This window comes from Homo sapiens, chromosome 14 (genome assembly GCF_000001405.40).
Source record: "Homo sapiens chromosome 14, GRCh38.p14 Primary Assembly".
In the NCBI taxonomy this organism is placed as follows: Eukaryota; Metazoa; Chordata; class Mammalia; order Primates; family Hominidae; genus Homo; species Homo sapiens.
The window spans coordinates 35,559,165-35,574,647 of record NC_000014.9 but is presented as its reverse complement, the minus strand read 5'-3'; the positions used below and the strand labels follow the sequence as shown (position 1 = coordinate 35,574,647).

The following is a 15,483-nucleotide window of genomic DNA, read 5'->3' as shown; positions in this document are numbered from 1 at the left end:
AATTACTATGTAAGAGATTTTAAAGATATAAAAACATATCTTGAAGAAGATATATCATAATGTCATATCTCATTATGACAGCCTAAAATAATTACTTATTTAGCATTTGAATGTAAATGATAAGGGATTTCATGAAGCTTTTCGCTTAAAATGTTTGAACATGTTTAGAATGACTTTGTTATGTACATGGTTCTGTGCCAGAAATCTTCATTACAACAGCTTGGCAAAAATATGTTGTTCTTTTCCATTAAACTTATTTAACAGACTTTTAATACTATACAGAAGATATTTGAACAAGCTTCAGTTATAAAATAAAAGTATACTTGCCCTTTTTTCTCGTTTCTTTAGATAAGTGGGCACTAGAAATTATAGATAGTTTTGGCAAGAGTTCAAGGGTTAATGTAGCAGATAAATAAAAGGAATTTTCTGTAAATTGAGACCTGCATTATTTCAGTTGTCTTGTCTTTCCTTACCTAACTCATTTAATTTTAAAAAGTAAATACCTAAATTCTTCCTGACAGTGTGCTCAGCTTTTACTATCGTTTATTACTTCAATTATACTTGATATCACTTAGAACAATCTGCCATTTGGAAATCTCAGTATAGCCTGGAGCTTAGTATTAGATCTGGCTGCTATTGTAACATGTACAGCATATGACATTAATGTATCAAAATTAGATTGGATCATCCCTCCTGGTTAAATTTATTTCACATTTCTTTTGTATTCAGTTAACATAAACCTATTAGGGAAGCTGACACATGGGGATGGCTGTATAGGAAGGATATTTTTAAAGTATTTTGATTAAAAAATGAAATTATGAAGCCATGGCTTTTCTGAGTTGTGTAATCTTTTTTGCTTTTTAAAAATGTCACAAAGCCCAAGTCCCACACATTTATATTATTCAACTTGTGTATGCATATAAGGAGTTACTCCAGGATTAAGGAGTGACAGAAGAGAGGCTTTCACTAATTGGACTTAACTCCTTTCTTTGTTTAAATCAGATATTAAGTTCTTTTTCCTACCCTATGTTCATCCTTAAGCCAAAATAAATGACATATTTCTGAGATAGAAATTGCCCGTATGTTAGCTGATAGCGTAAATATTGATGACAGTTATCCCAGGTTTACTCTTCTAAACCTTTCCACCTGCCGTGTGTCTAGTTATCTGAAACTAATGGAAATCCCATGTAAGATCTGCACTAAAAGTCAACTCAAATGCTCACAGTGGCAGAATCAATAAACGTACTAGTATAATGAAATTTTATAATAAAATGCATTATAGCAGTCTCTATGAAGAAAACTTAAGACTAAAGGGCATTAAGTTCATTTTTTTAACACCTTATTAGAAATCCAACTTCTGAATGTTTTGTGTTTTTACAGTTTTAATTATCATAATGTTAACTCTCTCTGATTGCCAGAAACACCTTTGTAAGCAAACCCCACAAACATTTAAATAACGTCTTGAGGGTCTAACAATTCTCAAGACATCTATTTGGAAGAATTTTTGAGTTTCATGGGCAAAGAAAACCTGGAAATAAATTCGTTAAACGAAACATAATCAACTTTCTCTTACTCAACTGGGGATTATCCAATTTATGAGTTACTTACTTCTTTTTTTAAAACAATCTTTTAAAAGATCTGTTAGTGGAGAATTGGTGCAGTTGCTGGTTAAGGAGAGTATTTGGGCTATATGTGAATCTTTTTAAATCTAAGTTCTCTGTTACCCATTGATTATTGACAATTGAAATTGTCTGGTCTTCTGCAGTGTCTCCTGATGTTTTTGAGTGTTTGTGTTTCATATGTAAAACTGATCAAGTGCAATTTAACAATTTTTTAATTTCGTTTTTCCCCTTTTTATGTTGTATGTGACTGTATGACTGTACTCAAAGAGCTTTTAAAGCAGTATAAATTGTTTTCTTGTCTTTCCAGTTGAGACATTTGGGAAATGATGAAGTGCACATTGTTTGGTCAGAGCATACTAGAGACTACAGGAGAGGAATTATTCCCACAGAATTTGGTGATGTCCTTATTGTAATATATCCAATGAAAAATCACATGTTCAGTATTCAGATAATGAAAAAACCAGAGGTAAGAACTCCTTATCTTCCATTTTAGTAATAGATTTTGGTTCTATAGGGGTTCATGGGTTTCTTTCCATGTTACAGAATAAAATTTGGAGTAGGCATCAAGTTGTGAAACTGAGGGTAAATGTTACATAGACCCTGGTAGCTACATGGATTGCCTAAGCCTGGTTCAGAAGGAGCTAAAACAGAATAAATAGCAAGAAACTGTGTTTAAATGGAGGATTTGGCTAGGTAGTGCCAGAGTGAAAGTTCCTGTGTACCAAGCTCAAAAAGGACTTACCTTTTATTAAGAGAACAATTACAATTTCCTAAAAATCACAGTAAGAAGTAATCATTTACTTTATAATAGGACTATATGATTCCTATATTTTTAGTTGATATATCTTATTAAGATTGCATGATTATTAGTCATGTCAATAAATGAGGATTCTACAAATTGAAAAAAAATAAGCCAAATGGTTCAGTCACCTATCCTATAGTTGGATGTCTTATATATACACCATAGAATTCAAACACACTATTGCAGAAATATTTTCTTCCAGGATAATAAAAGTTTGGTAGTATTTTTGGTGTGTTCCTTCCCTTTTTTAAACTGAATTCTTCAGTTTCTAGAAAACCTACATTTGACAATTGATTAAGAATCTTCAGAATTCCTTGAATTAGATTAAGTTTCTCATGTATGAATTTCTTATGTGTGAATTTAGGTTTCTTCAGGGTTCACCTAAACCAGAGGCCAGCAGACTGTGGCCCATAGCCTGGTTTCATACAACCCACAAGCTAAGAATATTTCGGTTTTGGTTTTGGGTTTTTTTACATTTTTAAAAAGACATTTTGTTGGTGGTGGTGGTGGTGGTGGTGGTTTTGTTTTGGTTTTTGGTTTTTTTGAGACGGAGTCTGGCTCTCGCTCTGTCACCCAGGCTGGAGTGCGGTGGCGCAATCTCGGCTCACTGCAACCTCCGCCTCCCGGGTTCAAGCAATTCCCTGTCTCAGCCTCCCGAGTAGCTGGTACTACAGGTGCCTGCCGCCATGCCCAGCTGATTTTTCTATTTTTAGTAGAGACAGGTTTTCACCATCTTGGTCAGGCTGGTCTCGAACTCTTGACTTCAGGTGATCTGGCCTCCCAAAGTGCTGGGATTACAGGCATGAGCCACCACGCCCAGCCTTAAAGAATTAAAAAAAAAAAAAATTGAAGAATATACAACAGAGAGAACATGTGACCACAAAATCTAAAATATTTACCATCTTATCCAGAGCTTACCTCCTTGCCTTCAGCTGCCATTTATGCCAACCTTATTCAAACAGAATTTCTAAGTTTTGAAACCATGAGTGAGTCACCTCAAAAAAATAACATTTAATTATCAAAACATAGATATTTTTTCTAATAAACTGTGTAATAAGGGTTTTAGGTTCTGTAGTAAAGCTAGTGTCACAAAAATAATGAAAAACTAACTTCTTGCCTATAAGTATATATTTTTCTTTTGTTCACTCAATGGAGAAAAGGAAATTTACTTCTAGTGTTGGCTTTTTGTATACAATTGAAACTAGTAAAATTTGGAAATTGGCTAAGTGTGTAAATTATTTACTCAGTTACATGAAGCACATAGTTCTTTTGAATAGACACCCTATAAACCTTTGACATTTTTATTGTCCTAGTATGAGTGACCCATCACAGAAAAGAATTGAATTCAAATAGTATTTTTACTGAAGGAAGAACTAAAGAAGCAGCAGAAATACTTTTGGATGCAAAGTGTCTTGATTGCTCTTATTTACAATCTGTCTGTAATTTGAATGTAAAATTATGTTCTGATTTCTCAATCAGGTTCCCTTCTTTGGTCCCCTTTTTGATGGTGCTATTGTGAATGGAAAGGTTCTACCCATTATGGTTAGAGCAACAGCTATAAATGCAAGCCGTGCTCTGAAATCTCTGATTCCATTGTATCAAAACTTGTATCCTTTTTTTAATGTAATGGTTTCTACTCTAACGTATGTCTACTCACAAAGGTAAATATTTCTTATATATTGTTAAAGCCTTTTATTTTCTAGGGTTTTTTTAATTATTATTTTTTGTAGAAATGGAGTATCATTATGTTTCCCGGGATTGTCTCAAACTCCTGGGCTCAAATGATTGTCCCACCTTGGTCAGCCTCCTAAAGTGCTGAGATTACAGGTGTGAGCCACTGCACCCAGCCTGATTCCCTGTTTATTGATGTATAGATGGTTCAGTTCCTCCCCAGTGTTGGAGCAGTTATATTTGAATGATATATTTTCTTTCACATGCTTTTTTTTTTTTTTTGAGATGGAGTCTCACTTTTGTCACCCAGGCTGGAGTGCAGTGGCACGATCTCAGCTCACTGCAACCTCCGACTCTGGGGTTCAAGCAATTCTTCTGCCTCAGCTTCCCAATTAGCTGGGATTACAGGCATCCACCACCACACCCAGCTAATTTTTGTATTTTTAGTAGAGACAGGGTTTTACCATGTTGGCCAGGCTGGTCTCGAACTCCTGACCTCGGGTGATCCGCCCGCCTCGGCCTCCCAAAGTGCTGGGATTACAGACCTGAGCCACTGCACCCAGCCCTCTTTTATATACTTTTAATCAGTACTAATCTTTTGGTTAATTAGAGTCCCATTATGTGTCAGGTACTCTACGACTCTGGAGTTGCAGAAGTAATCAAAATAGTCATTGCAAATAATTCAATCTAGTTGGGGAAACATACTGTATTCAGCGTACATGTTGTTAATAGAGATATGGGCAGGTATTCCAGAAATATAGTAACAAGGGGTCTCTCACTCACCTGGATGGAGTGGTGTTGTCAGGAAACACTTCTGAAACAGTGAGGATTGAACCAATTTTGAAGGACAAATAAGAGTTAATCAGGTGGAAGAGCCAAAGAGCCTTCCAAGCAGAGGGAACAACATAATCAGAGACATGGAGGTATGAGAAGATGGGGAATGTTTAAGAGCATAACTTCCAGAGCCAGATTGCCTAAACTCAAATGCTGGCCATGCTTTCTTAGCTGTGTAGACTTGGGAAAATTATTTAACCTTTTTGAGCCTGAGTTTTCTTGTCTATAAAATGAGAATGATAATAATATCTAGCTCATGGTGTTATGACAACTAATAATGAGTCAATATGTGTAAAGCTCTTAAAACAGTGCCTGGCACACAACATACACAAAGTTTTAAATTTAAATTGTTTTCTGATATTCCTTTCTAAAATAAATTTATGTTTTTCATATAATTTTTCTATATGATTTAAAACATTTTATTTTTTATATAATAAACTGTAAATGATAAGCTTTAAAGGAAAGTTTTTAAAAATATCTTATGTTCCAGTCCACATGAAATAGATTTATTATCTTAACTTGGTAGTTTACCACGTACATTTTCTTCTTTTGACGAAAATTGACTTAAGCTATCTGATTACTCTGTAATTTCTCATGTATTCTGACACAGTGAAATGGAATTGCAGGTGGATCATGGTATGTTACATTGATTAAGCTTAATGACATTTCTGTAGTATTTCTTTTTCATAGCATTTATATCTTCACTTACTTTAAACTGAAAACTCATATTTGAAGTAGTCATTTTAGTGAAATCATAATGACTAAAATGAGCCTTGAATTGTTAACAAAAGTATAATTTGGAGACATCCACTAAGTAGAGATTTATCAATTGAAAAGAAATTTCGGTAGGCAAGTTCAGTGAGTAGTATGGACATGGCGAGTTTATTTCTAAGTCACTTGTCTTTGACTATACAGTCTGTTGATTGTTTCTGAAGATTGTTTTGAAGACTATATTGTCTGTTGATTGTTTGAAGCATTAGGAGGAACTATTCAAGAAGACCCTTGAGTTTTTGTGAACCCTGCTGAGCTCAGCCAGCAATCAGTTTCATTTCCTTTACCTTTGGGGCCTGGAATCTTGAGTCTTTTCCCCAGATGTGAATAAACTATGGGGAGAATGATTTGTGAAACCCATACTCACAGCTTACCATTTATAAGGTCCACACATACCATGTGCCTTTTTTAGGAATTACGGCTTCATTCCCTAGATACAGTATCTTTTTCCTTTAAACAAAACAAGATGCTTACTGACAAATTCTCACTTTCCTAGTCTACTTTTTCTAAATTTTTATTATTCTGATTTTTATCTCATTGTAATACAGGTTGAATATCCCTTCTCTGAAATTCTTGAGACCAGAAATGTTTCAGATTTCAGATTTTTTTGGATTTTGGAAAATTTCATTATACTTACCAATTAATTGAACATTTCTAATCTGAATACCTGAAATCTGAAATTCTTCAATGAATGTTTCCTTTGAGTGTCATGTCAGAGCTCAAAAGTTTCAGATTTTGGAGCATTTTAGATTTCAGATTTTCAGCTTAGGGATACTCAACCTGTACTTCCATAAAAGCTTTGTAGTTTTAATCTGTTTATTGGCATATACTTTTCAGTTTGTTGTCTCCTGAATATCTCTAGAACAGTAGCTAATCTAACATGTAATATACAGGTTATTACCCATAAATTTTATCCACTCTGTTAGCTTCATCAAGGATGTTTACTCTCTGACCTTTGCCTCTTTCACAGTTCACTATATCCTAATGTCCATTCTGAGAGTGTCCTCTGTCATTTCATTAAAGGTGCAATTGAAAGTGGAGCATAGAGGTAGATATGGAAGAGTTTGTACTTTCTTGTGTAAATAAATGTCTTAGGTCTTTTTGGAAAGTGGTGAGATCAATTAGATTGTAATGCAAAACTCTATTTGCCTCTTGTGTCATAAAATAGGAACTCAACTTATTGAGCAAGCACAAACTTTCTGACATGAGGTACAACAACATTTAAGATGCACTCCTTACCAAGTAGTTTTAAAATGCAAACTCAAGAGTTTTGGGAATATGGCTTAATTTTTTTTTCTACATCCCTGTTCATAGTCTTCTATTTCAGACTTCATGTTACACTAAAGGTATATAAAAGCTGGCTTTGCAGTTAGAAAGCATTAATTTTTAACTCAAGCTCTGCCTTGTGATCTTGGCCAAGTCACAGAATCTCTGAACCTCACTTTCTTCAGCAGTAAAAAAGATGCTAATAACCATCTCAGAATTGTTGTAAAGATTAAATGAGATAATGAACTTGGATGTACTTAGTAGATATAATAATAAGTTACATTATTTTGTGCAATGATTAATCCTGTTATGTGTAAAGATTACAGTCAATATAAAACAAGTCTACCCAACACCAAGGAATTGCCTAATTGGATTTTTATGTTTGGTTGATTGGTAGGTTGATCGATTGGGTTGGATTTTTCAGGCCTACTTCATCATGTTTTTAATAGCCAATCTTGCTAAGATGTTAATAGATACCACATTGGAGAAAATTGATGAAAATAGTAAACATGAATACTTTATTTAAACAGAAAATCTGAAGTTTTCTACCAGCAAAATTACTTCTGGGACACAGAGTAAATACATTAAATCAGGTAGATCAAACAAATTTTTCTTGACTTGGAATCTTGAGTTTAGAAACTACAGGAAGTTGTTTTCCTATGCTACCTGAGTGTAGTATATATACCTAGTGTAGTATGTATATACATGCAGCAAAGGCTAGTAGTATAGTATCTCTACTTAATACATACATACATATGCATATATATATAGTACAAATATATATATATATAGTACAAATATATATATATATATAATGTACAAAGTTCTATATTCTAAATGTTGGGGGGAAATGACTTCATACAGGTGGATTACTTGATTTTCAAATGAACATTTATATAATAAACTACAACTAGACATTTGTATTTTAAGATATTGAAATACAGGTACATCTGTCTTAATTTTAAATAAATACTTATTTCAGAAACATAATGTATTAAATTTTAAGATGTACCTTTTTGAAATATCAGATTACGTTCTCATTAAGGAAAAAATCAAGCATTTTAAAATTGGTCAACAATTTAGTTAACATAAATTACAACAGAAATTGAGATACAGGTAGGCTTTGGAAACCACCAGTTAATCCTTTACTCTTCATAAAAGAAATGAAGGGATAAAAAATAATAAGCTTGATTATATTTGGATAATTGTACTGCTGTGTCAGTTATTTTATGCCCAATAAAAGTACTCACTAAGATTCCAAAGCATAAATTGTGCTATTTATGATCATTAAATACAGTTTAAATTTTATCCTAGGAACATGTTCTGAAACCATGAATCTAATGTTGTTCACTAAATGGGGACAGTATTGATTGTCATATGCTACCCAAATCGATCATACCAGCAGCCAGAATTACAGTAATCTGTCCGTATTGATGACTGTCTTTCAAGCTGAAACCTCTCCTTCGCTGCACTTGTTTCTTACATTACTTGTACTGGAAAAGCATTTTCTTACAACTTCTGATTTTGTCAGCTAGGTACTTTTTTTTTCAGGCAGGGGAGGGGTCTGGAGCTCAATTTGTTAGTTTAATCATGCAATTAGAATTGAAATGCAACACTGTGGAGGAAAACCAAGCAGATTCTGTGTAACCATTGGACCAGAGAGGTATTTCAGCTTTAATCCTAGCCATCGTTTATTAGTTACCTATTGAAAGAGTGTTCATGGTTTTTTTGTTTCTGTTTTTTCAGTGGGAATCATAATCCCAAATTATTAATTTCATGACCTCAGCCATCATGATTCTATTCCTTAAATAAAAATTTTAAAGCAATTATTTCTTTTGATCCTAAAGACATTTTGACTATGACTTCTGAATATACAAATGTTAAATATGATACTTTTAGGTAAATACTGTTTCTTCTTTTAGTGAGATTTATTATACATAGAAATTTGCAGAATTTACAATATATAATCATGTTGTAGTAGTGAGGGTTCTCAGAGAAACAGAACCAATAGGATGTATATATAAAGAGAGAGAAAAGAGATTTGTTTTAAGGAATTTGTTCATGTAGTTGTGGGCGCTGGCAAGTTCGAAATCTGTAGGAGACTCGGGGAAGAGTTGATGTTGCAGTCTGAGTCTGAAGGCAGAATTCTCTCCTTCCTCAGGGGACCTCAGTGTTTTCTCTTAAAGTATTTAACTGATTGGATGAGGCCCACCCACATTATAGAGGGTAATCTGCTTTACCCAAAGTCTACTGATTTAAATGGTAATCAAATCTAAAATATAACTGTAACAGTATAAATATAACAGTATTGTACAGTAATTAAGAGTATAATATATGTTATATATTATATTAATATTATAAAATATAACAGTAGCATCTAGACTGATGTTTGACCAAAAACTGGGTCCCATGACCCAGCCAAGTTTACATAAAATTAACCAACATATCCTGTTTTTCTTTTCTTTTTATCCTTATTACAAATTATAATTTGAGAAAATACATAAATCATAAATGTACTAGGTAATGAATTATTACAGTTTAACTATCAACAAGTCAAGAAATAGAATTGTAGTTTTTCTTCCTTCAAAAATATTTATTGATCACTTACACAGTAAAGATTTTGAGAGGGATACAAAGACAAATCAGATAGTAATCCTGTCCTCATAAGCTTATAATTTAACAAGGAGAGAATAATATGTAATTACTAATTATAATAGAAGACTAAATGAAAATGTCCTGGTAGGGTTATAGATAAAATGCTATAAGAGTTCCAAGGGTGAAGAAATTACTTTGGAGTAAGAAGATCAGGAAAGAGTGTTTAGAAAATCTGGGCCTCAGAAGGTGGGGTTTGAGTAGATGGAATGCAACATGTCTGTTTTAATTCTTGTAATTTATAGTCCTAAGGTTTTGTATGCATATATGTATATTATAGAAGTATAATATTCTGAAATATACAGTATGGGGGATATTATATAATTAAATGGCATTTTAAAAGAATACTTTATTCCTCGATTTAGAATATTCTTTCCTACCACAACTAGTATCGTTTGATTTCTTCTAATCTGTTTAGATTTGACTTTTTCTTAAATACCAGAATTGGGTTTCTATTTAACTTGATCAGGGAGATTACCAGAAGTCAGTGATTATTCTTCAATTAGTTACAGTTTATTCTCCCTCAAGCTCTGCTACTCAAATGTCCAGTACCTGTTGCAAAGTAGGAAAGCCAAAACTAAGTGGAATGGAATTGATGAATTGATTGGTTCTGCTAATGCAGTTGCCTTTCGTTATAATAAAACATTATAAAACCTTTTGGGGGGGTCTGTCAGTATTGTTGCCATTTCACGTTAGAAGAAAATGAGTTTATTGAGAAACTATGTAATTTTATGTATCTACTGTCTTTTGTAGATTATTTTCTCAGAAGATAACATCAATAAGTATGGGTTATCCTTAATTTAATGTGTAAAAAGAGGATAATAGTACCAAATTCAGGATGATGTAAGGATTAAGTAAAATTATCCACATGAAGCACTAGGTAACCTATCTGTCATGTAGCAAGAGTTCAGAAAATGGTAGCTACATGGGAGTTAATGATGCTATCGTTATTATCATCTACATTGACACTTGGGATATTCTTCTAAAATGCAAACCTAAGTACAGACAGTCCTCAGTTTAGGATGGTTCAGCTTTATGATGGTACAAAAGCAATACACTGTTCAGTAGAAATCGTACTTAGAATTTTGAATTTTGATTCAAAATTCAGGAGAATTGCTTGAACCTGGGAGGCAGAGGTTGCACTGAGCCGAGATCATACCATTGCACTCCAGCCTGGGCGACAAGAGAGAAACTCCATCTCAAGAAAATATAGGCTTTGCATTAGATGATTTTACCCAACTGCAGGCTAGTGTAAGTGTTCCAAGAACATTTAAAGTGGACGATAAGTTATATTCCTTATAATTCGGGTAAGTTATAATGTTCAGTAAGTTAGGTGTATTAAATGCATTTTCAATTTATGATGAGTATTTTGGAATGTAAGCCCATTGTAAGTCAAGAAACATCTGTATACTAAAAGACTTAAGATGGCTCTTAACTGCTTATTGAAACAAGTGTAAATTTTTTGATGACCTGGAAGCAATTATTTTTACCTTACCCTCCCTACCCTTATGTTTCTCACTGCAGTTTTGTCCAATATACCTGTACTCCTCCCCAGCTCCATCCCCCATCTTTACCCTCATCTCCTACCACACTGACGCCCAGGGCACCTTATGTGTCCAGCTAAGTCATATTCATTATTCCTGAATGCTCTTCTTTTTCAGGCCCATGTTGTTACCCCAGTAATGCCCATCTCTACTTTTTCTACCTAACATATTTATTATTCATGACCCAAATATCCTTTGTTTTAAAAGAAAAAAAACCTCCTTTACTATGTAAAACTATTATTTACACTGCCTCAAAACATTTTGTTATAGTACTTACTGTGTGTGTATATATTAGCAAGTCTTACTTACCCTCCTTGTTTCACTAACTTCCAGCACAGTGCCTAGCCTATGGTAGATGGCTAGTAATTTATTCTAATTAGAACAAGGTGGATGTATTTATTATCTATCTTTTTGAAGTTTAGATTTAGCATGGATTCTTTTTTTTTTTTTTTTTTTTTTTTTTTTGAGACGGACTCTCGCTCTGTTGCCCAGGCTGGAGTACAGTGGTGCTATCTCAGCTCACTGCAAGCTCCACCTCCTGGGTTCAAGCAGTTCTCCTGCCTCAGCCTCCCGAGTCGCTGGGACTACAGGTGCATGCCACCACGCCCAGCTAATTTTTTGTATTTTTAGTAGAGATGGGGTTTCACCGTGTTAGCCAGGATGGTCTCGATCTCCTGAACTCGTGATCCGCCCACCTCAGCCTCCCAAAGTGCTGGGATTACAGGTGTGAGCCACCACGCCCGGCCATGGATTCTTTTAAGAATGGAAAAGCCCCAAATATTTTTTGTAGTAACTTATAGTTTGTGATTTGTATTAGACTAGGCTACAACTCTTAAGAGTTTACTGGGTAGGTAAGAAGAGGAAACCTAGGATCAGTGAAAATTGCCTCTGATACATCAATAAGCCAGGCTAGCACACATACAAGGGTTTTTTATTTTGACTACTTAATCAGTAGTATATTTTTATTAGAGCCCATTATAGTTTACTGAAGATAATTTTCAGACGTCATTCATTAATGAGGGTTTTCACTTCATTTGGGGTTGGGAGATCTCTTAGGGAGAAAAATGAGCTAAGACATCTCTGACTTGATGGCAGTGGCAGATGACTTGGGGAGGACACATCTTGGTGTCCCCTCCAAGGAGGAGGCAGCATGAGGCTGAGCCCTGAAGGCTCACACTTCCTGCTGTAAGGCAAGGAAAGTGGTAGCAACAGGAGAGCAGTAGGGGGAAGCAATGGGAGTCTAGACGCTGATGAGGTTTCCAATTTTGCTGCTTTAACATTTGTACCACCTATGTTACTGAGTCCATTAGGAGCTCTCAAAATTTTGTGCCATTTGTTCTTCATGCTTTCTATGAAGGTCTTAAATATCATGGACAAATTGATTAGTTGTTAAATCAAATTGATTAGTTGTTAAGTCAAATTGATTTTTAACTAAGATGTATAGTTATGGTCATTCTCTTCAAAAGAAGAGAAGATAATTCTTCAAATAAAATGTCTTACCAGCTAAGTGATCCAGGTTTTGTGGTCTTTGAAAAGCTCACAGCCATTGTGCTACTGGTACTAACCATTGTAGTAGGATCTCTCCAAGAGCAGACAAACATTCTTCTTTACCTAACAATCTGCTCCATAATTGAAGGATTTAAATCTCCTGTATTCAGCCAGCCGCGGTGGCTGTAACTAGGTATTACAGGTACACACCTGTAATACCAGCACTTTGGGAGGTCAAGGTGGGCAGATCACTTGAGGCCAGGAGTTCAAGACGAGCCTGGGCTATATAGTGAAACCCTGTCTCTACTAAAAATACAAAAAATTAGCCAGGCATGATGGCACACGCCTGTAATCCCAGCTACTCAGGAGGCTTGAGGGATGAGAATTGCTTGAACCCAGAGGTTGCAGTGAGCCCAGATTGCACCACTGCACTCCAGCCTGGGCAACAGTGTAAGACTCTGTCTCAAAAAAAAAAAAAAAAAAAAAAAAAACTCCTATATTAAAGACATGGCATTACAATTAAAGAATTTTTTGCTGTGCTTACACATCCCCTTGTCATGGATTTTGCTGCCAAGTCTTGTAGTCTTTGTAGTCTGTGTATACAGAGTAATTATTTAAACAGGGGCCCCATATATGTGCCACACTTCTACAGTGACTCTAGTATATTTTTGATTATGTCAGTTTTAATTTATTTAGCTATTCTTTTCAAAAATGGCAGTATATGCCTGTTGATGATGTTACTGTATTTTTTTTTTTTTTTTTTTTTTTTTTGAGACAGAGTTTTGCTGTTTCCCCCAGGCTGGAGTGCAGTGGCGCCATCTCGGCTCACTGCAACCTCCACTTTCCAGTTTCAAGCGTTTCTCCTGCCTCAGCCTCCCAAGTAGCTGGGATTACAGGTGCCTGCCACCACGCCCAGCTAATTTTGTATTTTTAGTAGTGACAGGGTTTCACCATGTTGGCCAGGCTGGTCTCAAACTCCTGACCTCGTGATCCATCTGCCTCGGCCTCCCAAAGTGCTGGGATTACAGGTGTGAGCCACCACGCCCTGCGATGTTACCGTATTTTAAAAGTACTGCATACCTTTAAAGATGGTAGTTTTGGTCTAGCAAATCCTTGTCCTTTCAAAAAGCAATAAATGTGAATCTCTGATATGTAATAACTTTGTGATAATAGTAAAGAAAGTTTATTCTGTCTGAAAATAGCATTGTCTCTTAATGGTCTCTAGAGACAGTCTTTAAGGTTTTACTAATATTGACCAATAATTACTTACAGTTAAACTGTGGGAGCTCACAAAAATGACTTCAGTATATGGCCAACTTCCATTTCTGTTAACATTGTTTTAATTCTAGAGATATTTTCAATTTTTATCTTCTACCAAGAACTTAATGCACTAATGATAAACTTAAGCAATTTGGGGTCATTCAGCAATAGTGATATAGACCAAGTAGGATGGTAAAGGTGATTAATTTTAAGTGGGAGAGGATAGGGTGAGAGGATGGGATGGAAATTAGAGGAATGGCTTTACTATGGAAGAATTCTGCTAATATTTCAGAGACACATGGAACTTTTCTAGACAGATATGGTCAGGGAAGAATTTTTTAAGGGTAAGAAGTGGACATGGAGGCATAAAAATGTGATATGGTCAAGAGATAAAAGGTGTTCAGTACTGCTGGATGATATAAAGGGAAGAGCAGTGGCAGATAAAGATCAAGAAGTAGGTCAAAACCAGATAATACAGTCAAGCAGAAAGAAAATAAACATAAATGTGGTTTTCTAATGCTACTGATTGTTTTATGGCAGCCAGTGTCTAAGGTAACAGTTCCTTCTGCTATTGTGTGTTTTTTACCCGTTGACTAGCGAAACAATTACAGCTTGAATTTCTTATTTTTCATTTTCTAGCGAAGCCTTTCCAAAATGTTTATTGATCGTTATTTTCATAAAGTCTTTTTTATGATAATTAGTTGAGCAATAATTGCCAGGCTAATAGCCAGTATTGCATTTTCTCAATGAGACTAAGATCTCTAAATGTTTGATAGTATTTATACATATGTATCATTTTTAAAAGAGCATCTGAGATTTTCATATTTCTTATGATAGACTCATGATACTCTTCATTCTTGCACAACAATCCTTTACACTTTTCCTATGAGATACTTTTATACAATTATTGAGTTTTTACACATTATTACACTTTTACACGTTATTGATGAATAAAGTACTTTTGTCCTAGTCTTATAATACATTGACTTCATGGCAACAACGACAAAAATACCAAAAGAAAGCATTACCACCATCTTATCTGTTTTGTCAAATTTAGTGTAACAGTATGGTCCACATATGCCAATCTGGACAGTTGGGTCATATCACAGTGCACGAGAAGAAAGAGAACTCCATCAGGGCACGGACAAAGTACAGTATTCCCTAAAAACAACGAAACTTGAAGTTTGCTTCTATCTTTATCAACTTCTCACCTGTGCTGGAATAGGGATTTTTTTTTTTCCTGTATTAAAACCCTATGATGTTGCAGTTTGTGATGACTGTGCACTGCTCCACTCACATTATTGTTCACCACACCTACTACATAATGTACAACTTTTATTCTACTCTTTAAATATGAAAACAACTGTAGATTCAGATGCTATTTCGGGATTTCAAAGAGCAAAGAAGAAAGGATGTAAAGCAGAAATTAGTCTTTAAACATATTTGACATAGGAATTGAAGTGGTTTTCATTCATTCTTTTCATTGACTAAACATAGGCCTTTTGATATTAAATTTTTAATAATAATGGAATTAAAATTAAAGTATGGGTCACAAATCTATCCATTTTCTTCT

General features: G+C 34.7%; 1 protein-coding gene across 21 annotated transcripts in view; it reads left to right on the top strand.

Moving 5' to 3' along the window:
- The window catches only part of RALGAPA1 (Ral GTPase activating protein catalytic subunit alpha 1), a 270,940-nt gene that overhangs the window by 234,648 nt on the left and 20,809 nt on the right, over window positions 1-15,483 (top strand). For all 21 annotated transcript variants that reach the window (NM_194301.4, NM_001346246.2, NM_014990.3 and 18 more), the window contains 2 exons: window positions 1,930-2,088; window positions 3,904-4,031. In NM_194301.4, coding sequence (NP_919277.2) covers window positions 1,930-2,088; window positions 3,904-4,031 — 287 coding nt within the window. The remainder of the gene's footprint in view (window positions 1-1,929; window positions 2,089-3,903; window positions 4,032-15,483) is intronic.